This window comes from Homo sapiens, chromosome 10 (genome assembly GCF_000001405.40).
Source record: "Homo sapiens chromosome 10, GRCh38.p14 Primary Assembly".
NCBI classification, from domain to species: Eukaryota; Metazoa; Chordata; class Mammalia; order Primates; family Hominidae; genus Homo; species Homo sapiens.
This window is the reverse complement of record NC_000010.11, coordinates 116,544,892-116,568,738: the sequence shown is the minus strand read 5'-3', so window position 1 is coordinate 116,568,738 and position 23,847 is coordinate 116,544,892. Positions and strand designations below refer to the sequence as shown.

At 39.1% G+C, this 23,847-nt stretch overlaps 1 protein-coding gene across 1 annotated transcript; it reads right to left on the bottom strand.

Moving 5' to 3' along the window:
- PNLIP (pancreatic lipase) lies at positions 884 to 22,808 on the bottom strand. Its single transcript, NM_000936.4, has 13 exons — positions 22,781 to 22,808; positions 22,601 to 22,646; positions 21,291 to 21,445; positions 20,257 to 20,379; positions 17,507 to 17,641; positions 14,901 to 15,012; positions 13,442 to 13,561; positions 13,232 to 13,351; positions 12,621 to 12,739; positions 9,456 to 9,585; positions 8,215 to 8,323; positions 7,103 to 7,267; positions 884 to 1,004 (listed from the first exon to the last, which is right to left on the bottom strand). The coding sequence occupies exons 2-13, from the start codon at positions 22,644 to 22,646 to the stop codon at positions 941 to 943; spliced, it is 1,398 nt and encodes a 465-aa protein (NP_000927.1). The 5' UTR covers positions 22,781 to 22,808; the 3' UTR covers positions 884 to 940.

Genomic DNA, 23,847 nt, shown 5'->3' with positions numbered 1-23,847 from the left:
TGGGCTATACAGAGAAGTGAGCCAGCAAGCAATTACAATATGGGAAGTCCAGTGTTGAGACGGCAAAATGTCTGGGTGTGGTGGGAGTATAATAGTGGTAAGCCCCTCATCAAGTCTTAGTGGGTATGGATAATGGAGGTGAGTCCTGGAGGAAGTGATGTCTACAAAAAGATTTAAGAACCAGTAGGAGCTTAACAGACAGGAAGACAGAGAAAAGAACATCCCAGGAAGAAGAAGAGTTCCTGACAACATCCAGCAGCATCAGAGATCAAGACAACCCTCTTGGGGGACAGGGTCAGAATGTAGAGTTCCAGAAGGAACATAGTGAAAGATGAAGCTAGAGTCCAAGGAGACAACCAGACCAAGAGGGACCTCACAAGGCTTACTAAAGAATATGGATTCTGTCCTGGGGACCACTGGGAAGATGATTTATTTGCGCTTTAGAAAAATCAAAGAGGCTGCAGAAGTGAGGGGTTTGGGGGAGCCCCACATAGACCAGGTAGACCTGTTAGGGAGCATTGGATCTGTCTAGTCCTTATCTCCTTGTGTGTCATTTCCCCTGAGATATCTGATTAGGAGCAGACACAGAACTTAAAGATTATGGAAAAAGTGGCAATTGTGAGTCTTTCCATGTGAGCCCACCAAGAGGGGGTCATTTTGGACATGGAAGACTGCCTTAAGTGACCAGAATGGCATAAGTAATATTGATAATGAACATGATGACAGTACCATGTAAACAACATTCTTAAGGTCAAATATGCAGCAAAATTTAACAGCCATTGGTGGTTCTTTTGACCAACTCCAAATTTTGGATTTTAGTCACTTCATCCAACAGATTCACTTGAAACAATCGAGGTTTTGGACAAAAGAAACAGGCATGTAATGCATCACCACTAGATTTTATTAGAAGTCAATTCATTGGTCAAATAACAGTAGTCTCCTAACACGGTGTGAGGGTGAGCAGAACTTCCTCCCTGACGGTTTCTGGACTACAGAAGTTGAACCTGTGGAGAAAAAACAACACAAAGTCACCTCCTCTTCCTGGCACATATCTGGAGTGTGACAGTGAGGACAATCTATGCCCCCAACCTCCTAGTCTGAGGGAAGGGCGCACCCTGTGCTGGAGACCAGACAATGGCTGAGGGAAGACCTCTTCTACATAAAGGACTGAATTCTCCTTTCCAGTGTTATTTTCTGGTTGTGCAATAGCTGAGAGAGAAGCTGTCAGTAGACGCCCCAAAGAAAAAGAAAGACTCATTTGTCATGAGCAGTCACTGAACACTTAGCCCATGTCAACCAATGCAACTCAGGAACAGCAGAGTCACCATCATAAGAAATCAGCCCAGTGTATAAAGTCTAATTTCTGGTGTTACGTTGGCTAACCATTATTTTAATTCAATATTTGAACTGAAATGACAAACTTTTCTCATTGTGACTGAACAATATGCCTTCTTTCCCTGTGTGGATCAAATAAAGGAAAGGAAGGAAGGAAGGAAGGAATAAAGAAAGAAGAAAGAAAGAGAGAAAGAGAAAAAAAGAAAGAAGGAAAGAAAGAAAAGAAAGAAAGAGAAAGAAAGAAAAGAAAGAAAGAGAAGAAAAGAAAGAAAGAAAGAAAGAGAAAGAAAGGAGGGAGGAAGGATGGAAGGAATGAAAAGAAAGAAGGGAGGGAGGGAAGGAAAGAAGAAAGGAAGGAAGGAAAGGACAGAGGGAGGGAGGAAGGGAAGAAGGAAGGAAGGAAGAAAGGAAGGGAGGGAGGGAAAAAAGGAAAGAAAGAAAGAACAGGCTGAACAATACTTAGGATGCTTTGGAATATTTTTCTTTAATAAAATACCTTACCATATGTAAACTACCAGGAACAGAAAAAAAGTGCTCAGAAAATGTTTTTTTCCCTTCACGCTCACTTCCTCAATGACTGGCAGCCTCACAAATAGGAAATTAAAGGTTAAAACTGTTATCAATCAGGGACACAAGAAAAGAAAGGCACCAATATTTATACATGATTAAAGGTGAACTGAATTTTTTTGTAGTAGTTAAGAATTTTGTAGAGTCAAACTTCCTGCATAGAAATTCAGAAACAGTACCTTAATTAATTATCCATAAAATAAGGATAATAAAACCATCTACCTCATAGGATATATATTTTTGTTTTAACAGCTTTATTGAGCTTTAATTTACCTGGAATAAACTGTACATATTTAAATTGATACGTTTTCACACACACACAACACACACACACCTCTGAAGCCATCACCAACATCAAAGTTATTAACATATCTATCATCCCCCAATTTTCTTTCTTCCTCTTTGTAATTGCTTCTTCCCATTCCCTCCAATATTCACTCCTCCCAGGCAACCACGGCTCTGCTGTCACTATAGAGTAGTTTGAATTGTCTGGAATTTTATATAAATGGAATCTAAGGTGTGTGCACTCTTGTCTAGCTTTTCATTCAGTATAATTATCTCGAGATTCATCCATATTGTTGAGTGTACCATTAGTTCATTCCTTGTTACTGCTGAGTAATATTCCATTGTATGGACAGACCATAGACCATAGTTTGTTTATCCATTCCTCTATTGGTAGACATTTGGATTATTTCTACTTCTTGGCTGTTACAATAAAAGCTGCTACAGGCCAGGCACGGTGGCCCACACATGTAATCCCAGCACTTTGGGAGGCCAAGGCAGGTGGATCACCTGTGGTCAGGGGTTCGAGACCAGCCTGGCCAACATGACGAAAACCAGTCTCAACTAAAAATACAAAAATTAGCTGGGCAGGGTGGCGTATGCCTGTAATCCCAGCTACTGGGGAGGCCGAGGCAGGAGAATCGCTTGAACCCAGGAGATGGAGGTTCAGTGAGCCAAGATCGTGCCACTGCACTCTAGCCTGGGTGACAGAGCAAGACTCTGTCTCAAAAAAAAATTGCTATAAATATTCATGTACAAATCTTTTGTATAATCATATGTGTTCTTGCCTCATGGGTAAATATCGAACACCAAAATCGCTGACTCAGCGAGATGTATTGGAAGGTCGAGGTGGGTGAATCACTTGAGGTCAGTTTGAGACTAGCCTGACCAACATGGTGAAATCCCACTTATACTAAAAATACAAAAATTAGCTGGGAGTGGTGCTGCTGCCTGTAATCTCAGCTACACAGGCGGCTGAGGCAGGAGAATCACTTGAACCCAGGAGGCAGAGGTTGCAGTGAACTGAGATCGTGCCACTGCACTCCAGCCTGGGTGACAGAGCAAGACTCCATCTCAAAAAAAAAAAAAAAAAGTGCATTTTATATAGCCAGAATACAATTGGATATTGAGTTTTAAAAAATACAGTGGGGTAAGTTTTGTCTTCTAATTGTAGTATTTAGACCATTTTTACTTTATATGATTATTTACATGGCTAGATATGAGTCTATTGTCTTCTATTTGTTTTCCATTTGTCTCCTATATTCTTTGTTCTCTTTTAGCTCTTTTTTTTTTTTTTTTTTTTTTGAGACATTGTCTCGCTCTGTCACCCAGGCTGGAGTGCAGTGGTGCGATCTTGGCTCACTGCAAGCTCCGCCTCCCGGGTTCACGCCATTCTCCTGCCTCAGCCTCCTGAGTAGCTGGGACTACAGGAGCCCACCACCACGCCTGCGTCGTGTATTTAGTAGAGACGGGGTTTCACCGTGTTAGCCATGATGGTCTCGATCTGACCTCATGATCCACCCGCCTCGGCCTCCCAAAGTGCTGGGATTACAGGTGTGAGCCACCACACCCGGCCCCTTTTAGCTCTTTTTATACTCTATTTTGGATTATATTTTATTCCATTTTATCTCCTTGTTTGGTTTACTTGCTATTATCCTTTGTTTCATTACTTTAGTGGTTGTTTCATTATTTGTTTCATTATTTTAGAATTTATAGCGCATATTTTTAACTTATCACACCTTCAAGGGAAAGTATACCAATTCATAAATGGTATAAGAACCTTCCAATAGTATATTTTCAGGTCTCCCCTCCTGCCTTTTATGTCATTGTTATATTTTACTTATACATATATTATTTACTCCCCAAAATACTGTCATTATTTTTTAAATAGTCAATTTTTTCAAAGAGAATTTAGTAATAAGAATTAAAAATATTATGTATTTATCATGTATTTCCTATTTCCTGTGTTCTTAATTTCTTTTAGTGAATTCTTTTCTACCTGGTATCATTTTCCTCTGCCTGAAGGCCTTCCTTTGACATTTCTTTTAGTGTTAACCTGCTGGTGAGGAATTATTTCAGTTTTAAAAGTCTTTATTTCATCTTTGTCTTTGAAAGATATTTATGGGTATAAATTCCAGGTTAACAGTTTTTCCTTTCCATACTCTAAGATGTTGTTTCACTGCCTTCTGGCTTGCATTGTTCCTGATTAGAAATTTGCTGTTATTTTTTTCTTTACTCTTCTAATGTGTGGTTTTTCTCTGACTGCTTTCAATATTTTGTCTTTATAATTGGGTTTCAACATTTTTTTATTTGTGTAAGTTTAAGGGAACAAGTGAAGTTTTATTAGATGGATATATTGTATAGTGGTAAAATCTAGGTTTTTAGTGTAATCACCTGAATAATGTACATTCTACCTGGTTTGAGCATTTTGATTTTTATGTGTATTGGTGCTGTGCTGTTTTCTTCATGTTTCTTGTGATTTTCTTTGATCTGTTGGTTTATAGTTTTCACCATGTTTGAAAATTTTCAAGGTATTATTTCTTCACATATATTTTTCTGTCCCTTCTTTGTTAGGGTCTTCAAAGACCTAAAAAAGGGTCTTATTTCAAATAAATAAGCCTTATTATTATTGTCCCACAGATCACTGATGTTCTTTTAAAGTTATTTTTAAGATTTTTTTCTCTGTGTATTTCATTTCAGAAAGTTTCTATTATGTATTCAAGGTCATTAACCTTGTCTTCTATAATGTCTAATCTACTGTTAATTACATTCTGTGCATTTTTTGTTTGTGACATTGTATTTTTCATCTCTAGAAACTCAGTGTGGGTCTTTTTCTATATAGGTTGAGCATCCTAAATCCAAAAATAAAAAAATCCATTCCTGAGTTACTTGACTCAGAAATGGAAAACCAAACATCGTATGTTCTCACTGTTATGTGGGAGCTAAGCTATGATGACGCAAAGGCATAAGAATGATACAAAGGACTTTGGGGACTTGGGGAGAAGAGTGGGAGGGGCGAGGGATAAAAGACAACATATATGGTGCAGTGTATACTGCTCAGGTGATGGGTGCACCAGGATCTCACAAATCATCACTAAAGAACTTACTCATGTAACCAAATACCACCTGTACCCCAATAACTTATGGAAAAATAAAATATATTAAAAATAAATAAAAAATCCAAAATGCTCTGAAATTTGAAACTTTTGATTGCCAACATGATGCTCAAAGGAAATGCTTATTGGAACATTTCAGATTTTGGATTTTTTTTTAATTTTTGATGCTCAACTGGTACATATAATGGAACTATTCCTAAAGTCTAAAGAAATTCAAAATCTGAATCACTTCGGATCTCAAGCATTTTGGATGAGAAACACTTAACCTGTATATGCCATGCCTTTACTGACCTTTTAAGCAAATGGATACAGGTTTAAGAACTGTTTTAATTTTCTCCTCTGCTAATGTAACATCTATGTCAGTTTTGTTTTGGTGTCGATTGATTATTCTCCTCATTATAGGCTGTATTTTTCTGCTTCTTTATATACCTGGGAATCTTTGAGTCAAAGTCAGATACTGTGGATTTTAGAGTTTTAGGTACTTGATAATTCTGGATCTTTATAAATATTCTTGACCTTTTTGTTCTGCAATGCAGTTATTTGGAAACAGTTTCTTTACAGATCTTGGTCAATATAGGTAAATTATTTTCCACTATAAAGCAAGACCTTCTAAAATACTCTACCCTGTGTCCTTTGAATTATAAACTTTTCCAGACTGCTTGGTGGAAACAAGCACCATTCTCAGTCCTGCAAAAGTAGGGGAACTATTTTCTCTAATCCATCAAATGGATATTTCAATGACCTCCAGCTGGTTTGTTCTCATACATGGGTCAATCAGTACCTTGATGAATATTCAGGGAGACTTTTCATAATCTCTGGGATTCTCCCTCAGCAACTCTCTCCTCTCTGGTATGCTGTCCTGTGAAATCTACTTCCCTGGATCTTCTCATTCTTAGCTCTGATTCTTTAACTTAAGGAGTCCACTGAACTCTGCCTGGGTTTCTCCTCCCTGTGACACATCCTGGAAATCTCTCGGAGCAGTAAGCTGGGGCAACTGCCAGGCTCCATCTTGTCCGTTTTTGTCTCTCAGCAATCACTATCCCTTATTCCTCAATGTTCAGTGTCTGGAAAACTGTGTTTTCATGTACTTTGTTTGAATTTTGGTTATTTCAGTCAGGCCAGTAAATCTGGGCTCTGTTACTCCATCTTTGCCAGAAGCAAAGTCTTCTCATTTGGTTTTTATGAGGATGGAAGGATAGAATGACAGAAGCACAGTGCTTGCCTCAGAATTTGGCCTAATACTCAGAAATACTTGGTCTAGTATTGGTATTGTTATGATTATCACCAGATCACCTTTCCTGGTAGTTCACCATCCTTTGGCTCCCACACACTCCAGTCCTGGTTGAAACCAAGAATTATCTCCTGGACCTTCGTCTTCACTAAGAAGACCAGTGATTTGGAAAAGCCTATTTCTATTCCTTGAAACATTCACTGTGTTTCCAGCAACTTAAACAGCAATTAGGTGAGCCTGGGAAGTTTGGAAGATGCACACAAGAAGCACTCACATAGCACGAAGCACAGCTGCCAAAGGAAACATTCCTCTCACCTTAGAATCATGAAGCCGGTTTCTCATTCTAACATTTAATTTGTATCAGCTAACACACATCTATCATGAATTGATCAAAGCTGTTTCCTAAAGTTCTACCCTTTTCCCTAAAGAAACAGAAGGCATTAGGAAGCAACTGCAACTAGGATGTAGGCGATCCCCTGTAGGAGGTTTCACTTAAATTAGACTTTTAGTGGGAATAGAACTATAAACACAGACTCGATATTTCACATCTCCTGGGATTTTCATTACTTACTGTTTTCCAACATTTGTCTCCACTATAATCTTGGATGCTCCCACTCTAGGTAAAGTTGGGTTGATCACATTGTTATACCAAATAAATTTAACCATCTGCAAGTCCCCAACATCCACATCTGAGTCAAATTCATTGGAATGAGTACTATCTGGTTTGAGAGTGCCCCTAAGGATTTAAGAAGTTAACAAAAACATACATGAGCATACATGTAAATATATACATATATATTTGTGTGTATGTAAGTGTGTACATATATACATACACATTTATGTTTCTAAGACCAGCTTACAATGCATTTCTGGCTAAGGTGATTGGCAGTACATTTGCATTCTAACATATTAAACAAATTCAGACATGCATGCTAACTCAGTGGTAGTCCATTTGCCATGAACATCTCATATTAGTCACCTTTACTTTAGTAAAACTTCAAACATGTATTAGTCACCATTCCCCCACAATTTAATAAATGATGAGAGTATGCCATCATCTTTTCACATGTGTTTTGTGGGCAGACTAATTAATTACTGATCATAAATCAGATGCCAGTTATCAAAGCAAACATGAATGGTTTTATCAGGAAATAGCATGAAAATATTTAGAAACTGAATTCTGAATGGTACTAAGGCGTAAGGATGACATAATTGCTTCCTTTTCCCTTATACATGTCAGTACTCTACTTCCATTTAGTAATGAATAGACAAACTCTTATGTCGATGACATACATTATACATGTGCAGTATTCCAACATTAAGAAGCATTGGCTGGCCACCATGGCTCATGCCTGTAATCCCAGCACTTTGGGAGGCCTAGGTGGGTAGGTCACCTGAGGTCAGGAGTTTGAGACCAGCCTGGCCAACATGGTGAAACCCCATCTCAATTAAAAATACAAAAATTAGCCAGGCGTGGTGGTGGGCGCCTGTAATCCCAGCTACTCGGGAGGCTAAGGCAGGAGAATTGCTTGAACCCTAGAGGCAGAGGTTGTAGTGAGCCAAGATTGCACCACTACACTCCAGCCTGGGTGACAGAGCAAGACTCCAGCCCCGGCGACACAGCGAGACTCCGACTCAAAAAAAAAAAAAAAAAAAAGCATAGAGCAATATTATTTTACTCACTTGAAAATTTCATACTGCTTAGAGTTTCCTTTATTTCCGAACAAAGAAACTAGTATGTGTCCTGTAACCTTTTTTCCAGACAGTGTGACAGATACCTTATACCTCCAACCTGCAAGGGAGAAAAATTGCAAAATGTCAGTTTGGAGATAAAAGACACTAAAAACAAGTTAATTTGCATCCCACTACTGCCACGTTTTGAATAATTTATTTATAATTGTGTGTGTGTGTGTGTGTGTGTGTGTGTGTGTAATTTTCTAATGAAATAGTGATAGATATTCCTTTATATGTGTTTAGGGGACAGGCATTAGGTAATAGGGGCTTTGCAGAATTTTTTCAAAGTTAAGACAGATTTTTTTTCAAGCCAAGGGACTAAGGAATACATTTAGTTTTCAATTTCCAACCTGACAATTTATCCTTGAAAGTTATAAGAACTTTATGTTAAAAGGTAGTTGTAAAATTGTGAACTGTGACATTTTTTCAGTTTAATTTATTTTCATAGATCACCAAATTTTAGGGTACTGCTATCTTTTTGTCTAAATATCTACATTTATTTTCAAAATTCTATAATTCAACTTTTCATTGCCTTTGGGAATATATTAATTTATGAAAACCAAAAGAACGTTTTCTTGGTGCTAGCCAATAGTTTGCCATTTAGAGATAGGCAGAGCAAATTGGGGAGGAGATAAAATTTGTCATTAGTATTTAAAAATGTCGGTAACCCCATTAACTCTCATCCAAATAATTTTATTCCTCTGTTATTTGGAAAAGAAACCCAGAACCTGTTCCCATTCCTACCACTCCTCCAGCCTCTAATTCCCATCACCCATGGAGCCTACAATCCTAAACGTCTCTTAAATCTGTCAATGTCTTTCCATTCTCACAACCTCTGCCATCTCTCTCTCCTAGATTACTTTTCTGCTTTTACAAAAATCTCAGAATTTTGTTCAGTGAAACTTTTGACTGAATATAAAGAGGCTGGAGCAGAGAAAGCCTTCTGAATTCAGCACCAGAATCAAATATGAAGAAACTTATTTTTGCAGCATTAAGAGTCCAGGACCCAAACTCCGTTCTGCCACCCTAATTAGCTATAATTACCTTGAACATAGCATTGAGCATTTTTCCACCTTGCAGAGGGGGTGTTTAAAGCTTTTGTATAGAAAAGCAAGTATGCACATTTTCAGTGGACATAATAATAAAATATATAGCAATAAGAATATAAGATACAGAAAACAGAAACTTACGTGCAAAATTACTGGCATCACCAGTGTCTAGATAAAATTTCTGGCCCACATCATTTGTTTTCCCAGGATATCTATCAGCATAGTGACCCATCTGTGGGCAGCCTCCACTTGGACAAGGGAAACACTTGTTCTAGTGAAAACAAACAAATGATGAATGAGGATGCCCTATCTTTTAGTTGTGTACCATATTTCCTACATGTTGTCGCCATTCAAATATTCTAAAGCCAGTTCTGTTCTGATGATAAATGGGGACTTTAATAGTGTCTCAGCAGCAAAGATTAACAATGCATTTCATTATTCACAACAGTAAGTCACCAACTTCACTGTCAAACAACACAATACTATAAAAATCTACAACGAGCCGGGCGTGGTGGCTCACGCTTGTAATCCCAGCACTTTGGGAGGCTGAGGCAGGTGGATCACCAGAGGTCAGGAGTTCGAGACCAGCCTGACCAACATGGTGAAACCCCGTCTCTACTAAAAATGCAAAAATTAGTTGAGCATGGTGGCAGGCGCCTGTAATCCTAGCTACTCTGGAGGCTGAGGCAGGAGAATCGCTTGAATCCAGGAGGCAGAGGTTGCAGTGAGCCGAGGCTGCACTATTGCACTTAAGCCTTGGGCAAGAGAGCAAGACTCCATCTCAAAAAAAAAACAAATCATACAATGAGAGAATATGTGTGTGTGTGTGTGTGTGTGTATCTATCTTCTATTTTTTCTCTTTTGCCTAATTTGCTCCCAAGACATTCATCTACTTACAGCTAGAATTTATTTTAGAAAGATTGCATAAGTTGGCTGTGCATGGTGGCTCACACCTGTAATCCCAGCACTTTGGGAGGCCAAGGCTGGAGGATCACGAGGTCAGGAGATCAAGACCATCCTGGCTAACATGGTGAAACCCCGTCTCTACTAAAAATACAAAAAATTAGCCGGGCATGGTGGCGGGCGCCTGTAGTCCCAGCTACTTGGGAGGCTGAGGCAGGATGGTGTGAACCCAAGAGGTGGAGCTTGCAGTGAGCCAAGACAGCGCCACTGCACTCCAGCCTGGGTGACAGAGCGAGACTCCGTCTCAAAAAAAAAAAAAAAAGAAAGAAAGATTGCATAAGTAGAACAGAGATTATAATCAGCTTCTGATAAACAAAATAGAATTTATTAGGAGGACAATAGGCTCAAAAGTCAGGCTTTTTTCAATTCTTTTTTTTTTTTAAAGGTTTAAAAATGTTAGCCAGGATGGTCTCGATCTTGACTTCCTGATCCACCTGCCTCGGCCTCCCAAAGTGCTGGGATTACAGGCATGAGCCACCGCGCCCGGCTTTTTTCAATTGTTTTAGCTCATGTTTAGCATATCAAGCCCTGAAGGATTCAGATCCCGGAATTTTCTCTATGTGAAGAGAAAATGCCCCAGCTAGCCTAAGGCTTACTGTGAGGCTGATACCTGGAGAAGACATATTCGTATAGGAAAATACCCCTTATTTCTGGACCAAGGACTTCTGGGAAAAAGAGATGGAGAGGGAGGAACCAAGTTGGCAGGACAAGTGTCCCAATTCCCACTGTGAGGGGCAGGGCTACTCTACAGTGAAGGCAAGTGGTGGACTCCTGGCTCAATGGACCATATTATGGGCTTATCACAGTCCCAGGGTTGGCATTCAACAAAATCCAGGTGTTGCCTAAGCCAGCCGGGAAGAAATGGCCAAAGCTCTCTGAGGGCATTGCTAGAGCCAGAAGAATAGACAAGCCCAAGACGTCATCTCTAAATACAGCAGTGTGCCCATCAATAAAACAGGCAAGGCTATTACCCAGAGTCGAAAGGAGCCCAAAAACTTTACACCCATGGACTCCCAATTCATTTCCTCTGCTGAACACACATCGACCACCACCACCAGATCACCTGGCCCCAGCACTCACTTGGAGAGAAGCTTAGAAGGGAGTGCAAAGGTGAAGAAATCTGCAAGACTGAGACATTTTTTCTTATACAAGTGATGAGTATCACTTGAAAGAACTGTTTATATTGTTGAATTAGACTAAGTTTTAACTGAATGAAACCTGAGGCTTTTGTGTTTGCTTCTTTATTTTTTTCCCCCATTACTTATTGTTGGGTATTGGGGAAGAAAATAAAAATAAAGTTAAAATAAATAAAGAAGGGATCTTCTGTCTCACTGCATATGGAAGCTGTAGTGTGAATAATATATGTACTCCCTCTCCCATAATAGCTAACATTAATTGAATGCTATTATATTTTTTTGCTCTGGGCTAAGCAATTAACGTATGTATTCTCATTAAGTCCTCTCACCAAATATGTTAAGTTTGCCATCAGTATTTACATTTATACATGAAGAAACTTCTTGGAGAACTGTTTTGCCCAAAGATATTCAGCTATTTAATGGTGAAACCAAGATTTGCATCCTCTCTCTTAATCACTAAGGTATATATCCTGGGTAATTGTGACTTCAGCTGGCACATTTGTTACTGGAAATTTTCTTATTAAATCCATAGGTTTTAAATTTTTATTTCAAAAATTTATGGTACAAAGCAAAGTCAATTTTATAAAAAAAAAAACCCAGACAATAGATATGTCATATTTGAGATCACATATAAAGAATTCAACCAAGAGGAAGCCACTACAGCACACATTTACCTATGTAACAAACCTGCACGTTCTGCACTAGTATCCTGGAACTTAAAGTAAAATTAAATAAATAATTCAACCAAGATATCAAGAGAATACCAAATAAGATGAAAATTCAAAAAAAAATTTTGGCCATTATGAAATTGCACAGAAATGTCCACATGTCTATAATTATATATTAATAGTTAGAAAGGTCAGCATTTAAGAAAATTTTTCCATGTTCATCAGCATCCTACAGATATTGCTCAGATTTCCATAGACTAATTATTTTTTGTCTGTTTAGGGTTATTTCTAAAACAAGTTTGGACATTTACCCAATGCATACAAAAGTAACACAAATGAAAGTAAACAGGACATTTCCATGTACAAGCTCATTTCTCTAAAGTGCTCTAATTTATCACTATTTAAATACATATAATTAAAGGCATGTATAAGTTCAAAAGTATAAACATTCATTGAATGATGTCATGTATAGGAAAGCACACCAGTCATGAGAAGTGACAGTCACAAAATTCTTTATGCGGAAGGTGGAGTCTACTTACTGCAGTGAAGACGTTGTAAGAGGCACAGGGGAATCCAGCAAAGCCATCAGGGTTGACGATGCTATCAGTGTAATATTTGTAGCTTCTTAAGTGATTACAGGCCGCAAAGTCTCGAGTCCCTTTGAATCAGACACAATTACACATCAAGGACAGATTTTATTTTTCCAAGTTAACGTCATATTCAGAATATAGTGGTTGAATAGATTTCTCTAATTAGTGTGAGCTCATGCAGGTCACAGAACAAAGTCATTTGTAAAGTATATTTATGATTTGTGATGTAATCACAAGTTGAGTACTGTTTAAGATTATAATAGGTAATACTGTAATTAAATGAAAGGTTTAAAATACTGTAGAAGAAAAAGATTGGTTTAAATAAATAAAAGCTCATTCCCTGAATTAGGTACTCTGAAGTTGACTGAAAATACGCTTTCTTTCCCAGTCTCCTCATGCCCACTTATCCCAGTGAAAACCTACATCTCATGGATACAATTAAAAGTCTTTTGTTATGTAAAATGTGAGACCTGTACAATTCCAAAGAATTTAGCAAGTTTAGCAAAACAAAACACAAGCTTTCTCCCAAGAAGATCTCTTTCTACACATAATAGTTCTACCTTCCCAGATTCCGTCTATGTCCACAATCTGAGAGAGAATGTTCTTTTTACATCCAGGCATTTCCACTCCTCCATTTGGAAAGAAATCTAGGTGGCCCACGACTTGGCTCATTCCAAACCCTGAAATCATAAAAATACATGAGGGTTTATGCTAATGTATATAGACTCAGACACTATAACACCCTTTGGGGGACGGGTTGAGGAACTCACCCAAATTGGGGACTATGGGGGCACCATCCGTGTGAATTACATCCACAAATTTGGCATCGCTGGGGTCCAATCGGACTAATTCAGGTGTGCCCTGAAAGCAAGGTTCTGCTGGGTCCAACCCTAAAGTAAAGAGTATGTTTCATGAATTATGACAAGTCCTGAGTACAAGTATTAAGAGTAAAATATGAGTTATGCATGGAAAGGGATGAACGGGTTCTTCCTTACCTGACCATTTGCTGAAGAGGAATCTACTTCTAGCTATTTGCTTTAAAGTGAATTTTCCCCAAACCAAACAATATGCCTTTCCTCATGGCTCCATAGTCACTGGGAGAGTCTTAGTCACTAGCAGCAGTTACAACAAAAGAGGTAGACTCTGGGACACACTGGACTAAAAACCACGCAGGGTTAAAATAGTCCCCATTAGACTGTGAACTCCCACAAGGGCAAGGACCTTGGCTTTCACAAACGTCACTGAGACCACAGGCATTCACTGCACAGCACCTGGCCGAGCAGGCTGTGGGAAAGAAACATTTACAGACTGTGGAAAAGAAAATCTTGTGCAGATCTCCCCTTCAGCAAATGAACGGATAGGCAGTCCAGATTATCCCAAGTCCAAATACAGCCGACTTATCCCAAGGGTTAAAAAGAAAATCACCAAGTCAGAGACAAAAAGGTTGAACACAGATGGAAGAGGAAAGTGGTCCTTCCTTAAAATAATCACCTCTCAGATCCAGGATGGTAGCATCTTTCTTATAACCTTACAGAGGTTTTAGAACCTGGGTATCCAATATGTGAGCTCACTGGCTGAATGCAGCCAGCCTCAGGTTTGTAAAATACTATTCGTTATCTCATTAGCAGCACACAGAACTGGCAGCCCAGAGCACCCTGACCACCTTTTCCCTGACAACTCTGGGGTTATGTTTGAGGCTTAAGCACATTAGCAATTGCTAATGAAACAGAATATAATTAGTTATACAAATTTCAGCTCCTTAGGTTTAATTATATTTATTCTACTATTTATGAAATTTATTCTATTCATGAAACTTGTCCTTTGTGAATGTCGGTCAATGGGGAAATAGACATGAATAAAATCTCTCGATGTCCTTAATTCATATTCTAGTCACGTGCAATATAAATATGTTAAACAGAGTGCTGTAGACCAAAGATTGGTATCAATGAAGACTTTACAAAGCCTCAGAACAGCGATTTCTGATCATGGGGCCCAATTCAGAAAATGTGAAAAGGTAAAACGTAGGGTTGCACCAAATTTCCATCTTGTATTTCCTTTTAAATCACATACAGGCTGCATTTAGTCTAAGTTTGTAGCGTCCTTTTTTTCTTTTTTTTTTTTTTAAGGAGATAGGAGTCTCGCTATGTTGCCCAGATTGGCCTCAAACTGCTGGCCTCAAGAGATCATCTTGCCTCAACCCCCCTGGTATCTTTCACTGTTTTCACCAACCTGTGATGCGTCCAATGGTCCCATTGGTTCTCCTTCCAGCCTCCCCAGCAGCGTGGGCACCCAGGCTGTGGCCAATGACATGCACATTGGAAGGTGAGTAACCGAACGCCGACTGTCGGAAAGAAAACCTTTTCAGAATGTTTTCAAGTGCAGTCATGAGTTGCTCAACAACAGGGATACGTTACAAGAAATGCATCATCAAGCGATTTCATTGTTGTGGGAACATCATAAAGTATATTTACATAAACCTAGATGGCATAGCCTACTACCTACCTGGGCTGTGTGGTACAGCCTGTTGCTCCTAGGCTACAAATCTGTACAGCATGTTACTGTTCTGTGTACTCTAGGCAACTGGAACACAACGTAACTAGTTGTGTATCCAAATATATCTAAACCTAAAAACATACAGCAAAAATACGGTATAAATGATTTTAGGCTGGCCTTGGTGGCGCACACCTGTAATCCCAGCACTTTGGGGGGCCAAGGTGGGCTAACCACCTGAGGTCAGGAGTTCAAGACCAGCCTGGCCAATATGGTGAAACCCCGTCTCTACAAAAGTAAAAAAATTACCTGGGCGTGGTGGTGGGTGCCTATAATCCTGACTACTTGGGAGGCTAAGGTGGGAGAATCACTTGAACCCGGGAGACGGAAGTTGCAGTGAGCCGAGATCGCGCCATTGCGCTCTAGCCTGGGCGACAGAGCAAGACTCTGTCTGAAAAAAAATAAAAAAATTCTGAAGTGGTAGATCTGTAGAGGGCATTTACCATGAATGGAGCTTGCAGGACTGGAAGTTGCTCTGGGCAAGTCATGGAGTAAGTGGTAAGCAATGTAAAGGCCTAGGACATTACTGCACACCGCTGAAGACTTTATATACTGTACATTACTCTACACTCAGTTCATTTAAAATATTTTTCTTTCTTTATGCAATTTTTATTTTATTTTATTTTATTTTTGAGATGGAGTCTCACTCTGTTGCCCAGGCTGGAGTGCAGTGGCACGATCTCAGCTCACTGCAAGCTCCACCTCCCGGGTTCACGCCATTCTCCTGCCTCAGCCTCCCGAGTAGCTGGGACTACAGGCGCCCACCACCACGCCCAGCTAATTTTCTGTATTTTTAGTAGAGACAGGGTTTCACTGTGTTAGCCAGGATGGTCTCCATCTCCTGACCTCATGATCCGCCCGCCTCGGCCTCCCAAAGTGCTGGGATTACAGGCGTGAGCCACCGTGCCAGGCCACAATTTTTATTTTTTTTAAACTTTTAACTTTTTGTAATAACCTTTAGCTTAAAACACTCTGTATCCCTGTATCAAATTATTTTACTTCTTTATATCTTGATTCTATAACCATTTTTATGATAATTTTTTTAACTTGTCAAAATTTTTTGTTAAAAACTAAGACACAAACACCTGCATTAGCCTAGGCCTACACAGGGTCAGGATCATCAATATCACTGTCTTCCACTTCCACATCTTGTTCCCTGGAAGGTTTTCAGGGGCAATAACATGCATGAAGCTGTCATCTCCTATGATAACATGTCTTCTTCTGGAATACTTCCTGAAGGATCTGCCTGAGGCTGTTTTATTTTTCTTTAATAAGTTGAAGGAGTATACTTTAAAATAATGATAAAAAGTGTAGTAAATATGTAAACCAGTAATGTCATCATTTATTATCATTATCATGTATTACATACTGTACATAATTATATGTGGTAGACTTTTATATAACTGGGAGTGCAGTAGGTTTGTTTATACCAGCATGACCACAAATCCATGAGTAATATGTTGTGCTGTGGTATCATGATAGCTATAGGTCACAAGGCAATAGGAATTTTTTAGCTCCATTGTCATCTTATGGGACCTCCATCATATCTGAAGTCCATCATTGACCTACACGTCCTTGTGTGGTGCATGACTGTATTGCAGAATTCAATGAGGCGCGCAGAGGGAGAACCTTCAAAAACCTCAGTGTCAAGAAGATACACTGCCTTTCCAAAGCACTTGACTTCCATGTTTTTTAAAATAGTTATAATGAAAAATGGAAATGGGTTTAACTTTTAATCTGGTGGAAGTAGGGCTGTATTTTGTTGTTTTACTATGGAGAGAGAACTCTTAATGAACATGAAGAGTTGTTATCCAGAGATGATGAAGCAAGTATTTGGATTAGAAAGTAAAAATAAAAACAATTATTTAAACACATTCAAGTATAACATTTTCTGTGGTTTTTGTTACCAAATGAGGTTAGCTTGTTATCACCGTGCTTCTCTTAAGAAAGCAAAACTAAAATCAAATAAAACTAGATTAATCTTAAGGTTGACATTGGTAATAACTAGTAAAATTAAAACAAATACTCGTGGAATTTATTAAAAACAACCTACCAATTGCTTGAATAAGTTAACTTAAAAAAACTAGTTTATTAACATAATGGGTTATTGATGAAACCCAAAGCTAGATTTTTTTTAATTTTTCTTTGTAGCCAAGAGAAACATCATATCTGAGTAGAGAAGTGTCTTTATCTATGATTAAATCTACAGGCTTTTTTTTTTTTTTTTGGAAAGATAATCTGGAAAACCATGTGTACAGGCTTTTATGCAATCCGGGAGTAATTACCTGAAGAAATTCAACAAAATATGCCACTTCTGCTCCCACGATCCTGATGTTCTGCGAGGCTTGTGTGTATCCAGTTCGGGAGCCACCTTTCCAGTCCACACAGATACAGTTCACACTTTCCACCTTGAACAGATTCTGGTGGAAGGGGCACAATAAACAGATAAATAATTCAGGATCTTTATTAATTACTAGTTAACATACTGGAGGACTAGGATAAATTCCCTCCTTGACCCACACAATGTCATTTTAACCCTAATGCAATTGACAAAACTTTTAGTCTGTTATAGATATATAATCTCTGCTAAAGTTTAAAATCATCTCCAAACTGGAATTTGACCATAGTGGGAACTGGATTCTTGGGATTTCTACTGTAGCAGATACAGAGACATTTAGTTCAAGAAAAAAGTGTATAAACTGTATAAAATGTGGTACAATGTGTTGTTCATTAGGTCATCCTAAATGCCATAAGACTACGTTGTCCCTTAATAGAATGCACCCAAGGACATTGTTTACCTTGTCCACTGGTATAGCCTCAGTGTCCAGAACAGATTCTGGTACACAGTAGATGCTCAGTAAATATTTAATGAATGAATGAAAGACAATGTTAGGACCCCTTATATAAATACATTGAAGGTAAATAAGTTTTTCCACAATAGAAAGACTAATCAAATTTTTTGGATGAACGTGTTTTATTGTACATCACTAAAGAGTTATTAATATTTCACATGAAAACATTGCCTACCAGATATCTATGGAAAGCCTTGTTTGATGGCATTTAATTAGGGCTTCATGGAGGTTAGTTCTGGAAGGAATTCTGTTGTCTGAGTGTGTTTATGTATAGCTTCTTTTTTTTTTTTCAAAAAGAATTTGAGAATAGGCCAGGTGCGGTGGTCACGCCTGTAATCCCAGCACTTTGGGAGGCCGAGGCAGGTGGATCACAAGGTCATGAGATCGAGACCATCCTGGCTAACATGGTGAAACCTCATCTCTACTAAAAGTACAAAAAATTAGCCGGGCCTGGTGGTGGGAGCCTGTAGTCCCAGCTACTCGGGAGGCTGAGGCAGGAGAATGGCGTGAACCCGGGAGGCGGAGCTTGCAGTGAGCCAAGATCGCGCCACTGCACTCTAGCCGGGGGGACAGAGCAAGACTCCATCTCAAAAAAAAAAAAAAAAAAAAAAAGAATTTGAGAATAATGGAACAATCTTAGAAATCATCTGCAACTTTTCCATTTTTCAAAAGGAAAAATCCAAAGCAGGGAAAAGATTTGCTAATCGTAGTTAGCTAAGGAGAGAGTCAGGACTGGACTGTAGAACCTTTATCCTTCTAGTTTAAACCACTTGTTTCTGCGTCTCAAAGCAATAGTTCTGTCAAAGCCAAATCAATGCAGAACAAAACAAAACAAAAACAAACCACAATTGCCTTTGGGATCTTAGAAATAAATTGCATAGCCATATCAAAGGTAACTATATTCCTTTTGAACTGAGAATCACATTTTTTTCTTTGCTGTTCTATAAATATCTATTATTACCCTCCCTCCAGTAATCATCAGCTTTAAATTATTTTGGAGGACAAGTTGTGGTTTTACTGCTTGTGTTTAAACTTGCGGAGTGTACAGATTCTACAGTGCTCATCTGTCTTCAGGATCAATGGATAGGTTCTGGAGTTGACTCATTCTGCCCTTGCTTTGAGCCAGAGGCAGACCTGAAACTGTATGGGCTTAGGAGGACCTTTGTGTCTTTTTTTGTTTTTTTTTTGAGACGGAATCTTGCTCTGTTGTCCAGGCTGGAGTGCAGTGGCACGATCTTGGCTCACTGCAACCTCTGCCTCCCGGGTTCAAGCGATTCTCCTGCCTCAGCCTCCTGAGTAGCTGGGATTACAGGTGCGTGCCACCATACCTGGCTAATTTTTTTTATAGTTTTAGTAGAGACGGGGTTTCACCGTGTTAGCCAGTATGGTCTCGAACTCCTGACCTCGTGATCCGCCCGCCTCAGCCTCCCAAAGTGCTCGGATTACAGGTATGAGCCACCACACCCAGCCTGTGTCTTTCTTCTTGACACCTCTGAAGAAAGGACTACTCCCTTTGTGCGACAGCAGGTCAAAGAAATTTGATGAATACATGAATAAATACTTGAATAAATGAATCAACAGTAATGTTCCTCAAGCACTAGCAGTTACTAGGAAAATTTATTCTATTTGATTTTCTGTCTTTTCATTCTTCTTTATGACAGGGCATATAGCCAAAGGCAAATTAAAGAAAATAGGATCACCGCTGTTGAAACAACAGAAGCCAAAAATGAAAACCTACACAGTTTTCAAAGTTATTGCTACCAGAGGAGATCCGAGAGTAGCAAGTGAAAATCAAAGGAAAAGAATTCATTCAGGCAAAATGAGACCTCTTAGCACTTCACATAAAATTAAAAACTAATGAAAAAACAGGGGCCTATAACCAGCTGGTGTGCATCAGCATGACAGCATCTGTTGCTATAATGTTGAAACACCTCCATATCAGTTATTAAATAACCACTGCCTAGATCCACCAAGTGCTTGCCAGCCTCACTGCTCTGACCATCCTAAACCCCCTCTTCCCACCACCACCTCCTTGACCTCCCCTAGGAACTCCAGGCCCAGCAGGGGTCTGAATATCCTCCAAGACCTCCAAGCACTGTCCTCATTGGTCGGGGCCAGTGCCTTACCGTTTGTTAATTACCACTTTGGAAACGATCTTTCCTTGAGAGATGACCACATCTCACCTTGCACACATTGGCCAGCCAGTTTTCTTCTCCCTTGTCTATGAATCCATGAATAATAAAGCGAGTTTTTCTATTTGTTTTGAAATTGGAGCCACTGATGCTTGATGAATCTGCGGCAACTTCCTGTTTAGACAGAAAAGTGTTTCATGTCAGTTTCCTATAGTAGCCAATAGAACCATTTGTACATGGAGAGGGGCAGTAAGTAGAAGACTGCTAGGATTCAGGATCCTTGTGAATAATGATTCCTCCATAGCAACCACAGTATTCACTATCATCATCATGTTGCCATTTCCCAGTCATCACAACATGTTTGCCATTGTTCAACTTGGGATAATATGTCTGTTATAATCTTGGTGGTAATGATCTTTTCTTCATACAATGGAAGGCTTTGTGTGTGTGTGTGTGCGTGTGTGTATTTTTATATGTCTTTATCTATGTAGAGATACATATATATAATAGGAGATTACATAAATATATAATATTGGGAATGTTTATATACTTTATATGTATAAATATAGCCCTACATTTACAATATTTATTAAATGTTATAGAGGAAGGACAAGAATAATATGAAGTTAATGAATCTTTTATAAACAATTTACATTAAGTAATACCTAAGCTCAGTGCCCTGAATATCTACAAAGATGCAAATTTCACGGCTGATTTTTTTCTCTTAAGAACTTGAATATTCAGTATCCTTATTACAGAAAACAGGTGGAACTTGGTTCTTCTTCTTTTTTTTTTTTTTTTTTTTTTTGAGATGGAGTCTCACTGTGTCGCCCAGGCTGGAGTGCAGTGGCGCGATCTCGGCTTACTGCAAGCTCTGCCTCCCGGGTTCACGCCATCCTCCTGCTTCAGTTTCCCGAGTAGCTGGGACTACAGGCGCCTGCCACCACGCCTGGCTAATTGTTTGTATTTTTAGTAGAGATGGGGTTTCACCATGTTAGCCAGCATGGTCTCGATCTCCTGACCTCGTGAACCGCCCGCCTCGGCCTCCCAAAGAACTTAGTTCTAAACACAGTGATAGTTCTTACTTGAAAGTTGTTTGGGTTCTCATTAGTATATAGGAGGAAGCGGGTGTTGACATCTTTTGGAGACCAAGGCAATATATGGAGGGGTCTTTCCGTAATTCCTGACCATGGGGAGTCATCACTGAAGCAGCCGAGTCTTTCGTAGCAAACTTCTTTTCCTGCAATCCCCCAGAAGGATATTAGTTTTACAAACATGCTCTTTTTAATGATCTGTCTGCCAATATATGAGTTCAATTACACTGTGTGGTAGACTTTCCTCCTCTGCTACTCTCAACACCCTCCTAGCCACACACTCACAAAACAGCTTCAAAAGACAACACAACTATTCCAGACAGGCTGTTGTTCTTGTTCCTCAATTCTACCACATGGATCACTTCACTCCCCTTGTGTCTCTGCCCAATCCCAACGTGGGACTCCTTTTAGCCTCTAAACTCAGATATCTTCCTTGGGCTATAGGTGCTCAAGAAAGGGACAGCCCTGTGTCCCTAAGCCTTAACTTCTTGTAGCCACTGTTTAGCTGTGGGCTTTGAAAGGAGAGCTAAAATTTTATGGAAAGGCCAAAACCGTATATCCCCATCCTTGCTGTACTGCAGGACATCTTCATTCCTGTGATGAAGAAGCTGTTCACAAACAACCAAACCAAAAATCCATGGTTTAACACAACTCTAGGCTTGAATGTCACTCCATAAAAAAATAACCCAAAGAAGGGTTCTCTTCTCTAAGGAGGATAAATCTAGATTAATGGTAGGAGTAAGAGTAGCAGCTGTTGTGGGGGCTGCGTTTCTCAACATCTTACCATGTGTCAGGTGCTGGGTTGGATGGTTTACTAATCTGACCTAATTCTCACAATAATCCTAGGAGATGGGGAATCCGACTCTCCCCATTTTGCAGACAAAGATTCTGAAGCACAGAAGAGTTAAGAATTTTGCTCAGGGTAATACAGTTGTAGGTGGTGGTGGAGCCAAGGTTCAAACTCTTAACTTGACTTGATGTCAGGGTTGCTAGATTTAGCAAATCAAAATACAAGTAAATTTGAATTTCAGATAAATGATAATGTTTTAGTATAGATATGTCACATATTTGTTGTTTGTGGGAAATATTTGCTGTTTATCTGAAATTCAAATTTAACTGGGCATCTTAGATGTTTTCTGACAACCCTACTCCATGTACCTGTGCTCTTATGCGTCTCCTGTGCTTTACTCCTTGAAGTAAATCTTCATGTTATTACTGCGGCCTGAATTCAGCTGCCCTAGCCCTCCTGACCGTGTTGAAAAGTGAATCTCTCCCAGCTCAACATTTATTTGTTTTCTTACCTGCTACTGCTCCCAGCAGCAGTGAAAGAGTCCAAAGTGGCAGCATCTACACGAAATTAAAAACATGATTGAGTCTGGCTAAGTTTTTAAAAGATCGGCAAGTTTTAGTTCATTTAGACCTCTGGGGGAAAATGGATACATTCTGATCAATTAGGCCTGGAAAACATGTTCCCGACTCACCGTGGCAGTTCCGTCAGGTTCCACACGCAACCAGATAGCAACAAAAACTCCTTTTATAGGCGAAGCTTATCTTTTTGAAACCGTGGAAAAATGGCATGCAAAGAAAGGCCCAAGGATGTGTTTCTAATTTTAATCATAGATAAACTAAGGTTGACAGAGTAAAGTTTTCCATAGTAGTTGTGGGATGATGAGAAAGGGGGTAGATATGTGATTATGTAAAGCTCAAAACCACTTTAATTTCATTATAGTAAAGGTTCTATATAGTAAAGGTTCTAGTCTTTCTGTCTCTTTTTAAGTTCACAATTCTCTGTGCCTGTCTGTGGGCATGTGTGAAATTAAATTGTTTTCACAGATTTGATAACAGCAGTCTTAAAAACAAATACCAGCAGCCTACCAGCTCTTGCCATTTTTGTATAACCTTGCCTTACCCTCAAAAACAGTGAAATAGAAGCAATCCTTCAAGAGAGCTCATACCTTCTGGAAAAGCATTTGATTAATTTTGATAGTCCATAGAACTGATTTATTTCTCAACAATGTCATGGAGGAAAGAATAAACAAGCTAAGAAAAGGAATTGGAGGTACAGCCGAAAGCATAGAGGCAGAATCACTGACCCCACTATCAGATGAAATGATGAATAAGCAGAAAAAATATGACTCAACTTGGAAGAAAATGGTTTAGAAAAAATAATCTGAAAGAGAATTGTTTGATGGAAAATAACTGGGATGTTTTCAGTTAATGATGGATTGCTTACAATAAATGTTAAAAAGAGTACAATGTGATACCATAATTTTAAGAGACCAGAACCTTTTAGCCTGAAAGTGTCACAGCTATACACTGAGTTGTTGAAATTGTCACATTCGTAGGTCAAAAGTGGTCAAAAATAATTCAATCCCCTGGAAAAGTTTATAGGTATAGAGAAAAGCAACAGAATTATCGTGTACAAGGGAAGTTCAAGGAAGTTTGGCAAGGGAATTGTTAAGATAAAGACAGAAGGCACAAGGAAGGATCCATGGATGGACACCATGGCAAATTCCTACCTAATCTTTCAAATATCAGCCTTTCATCC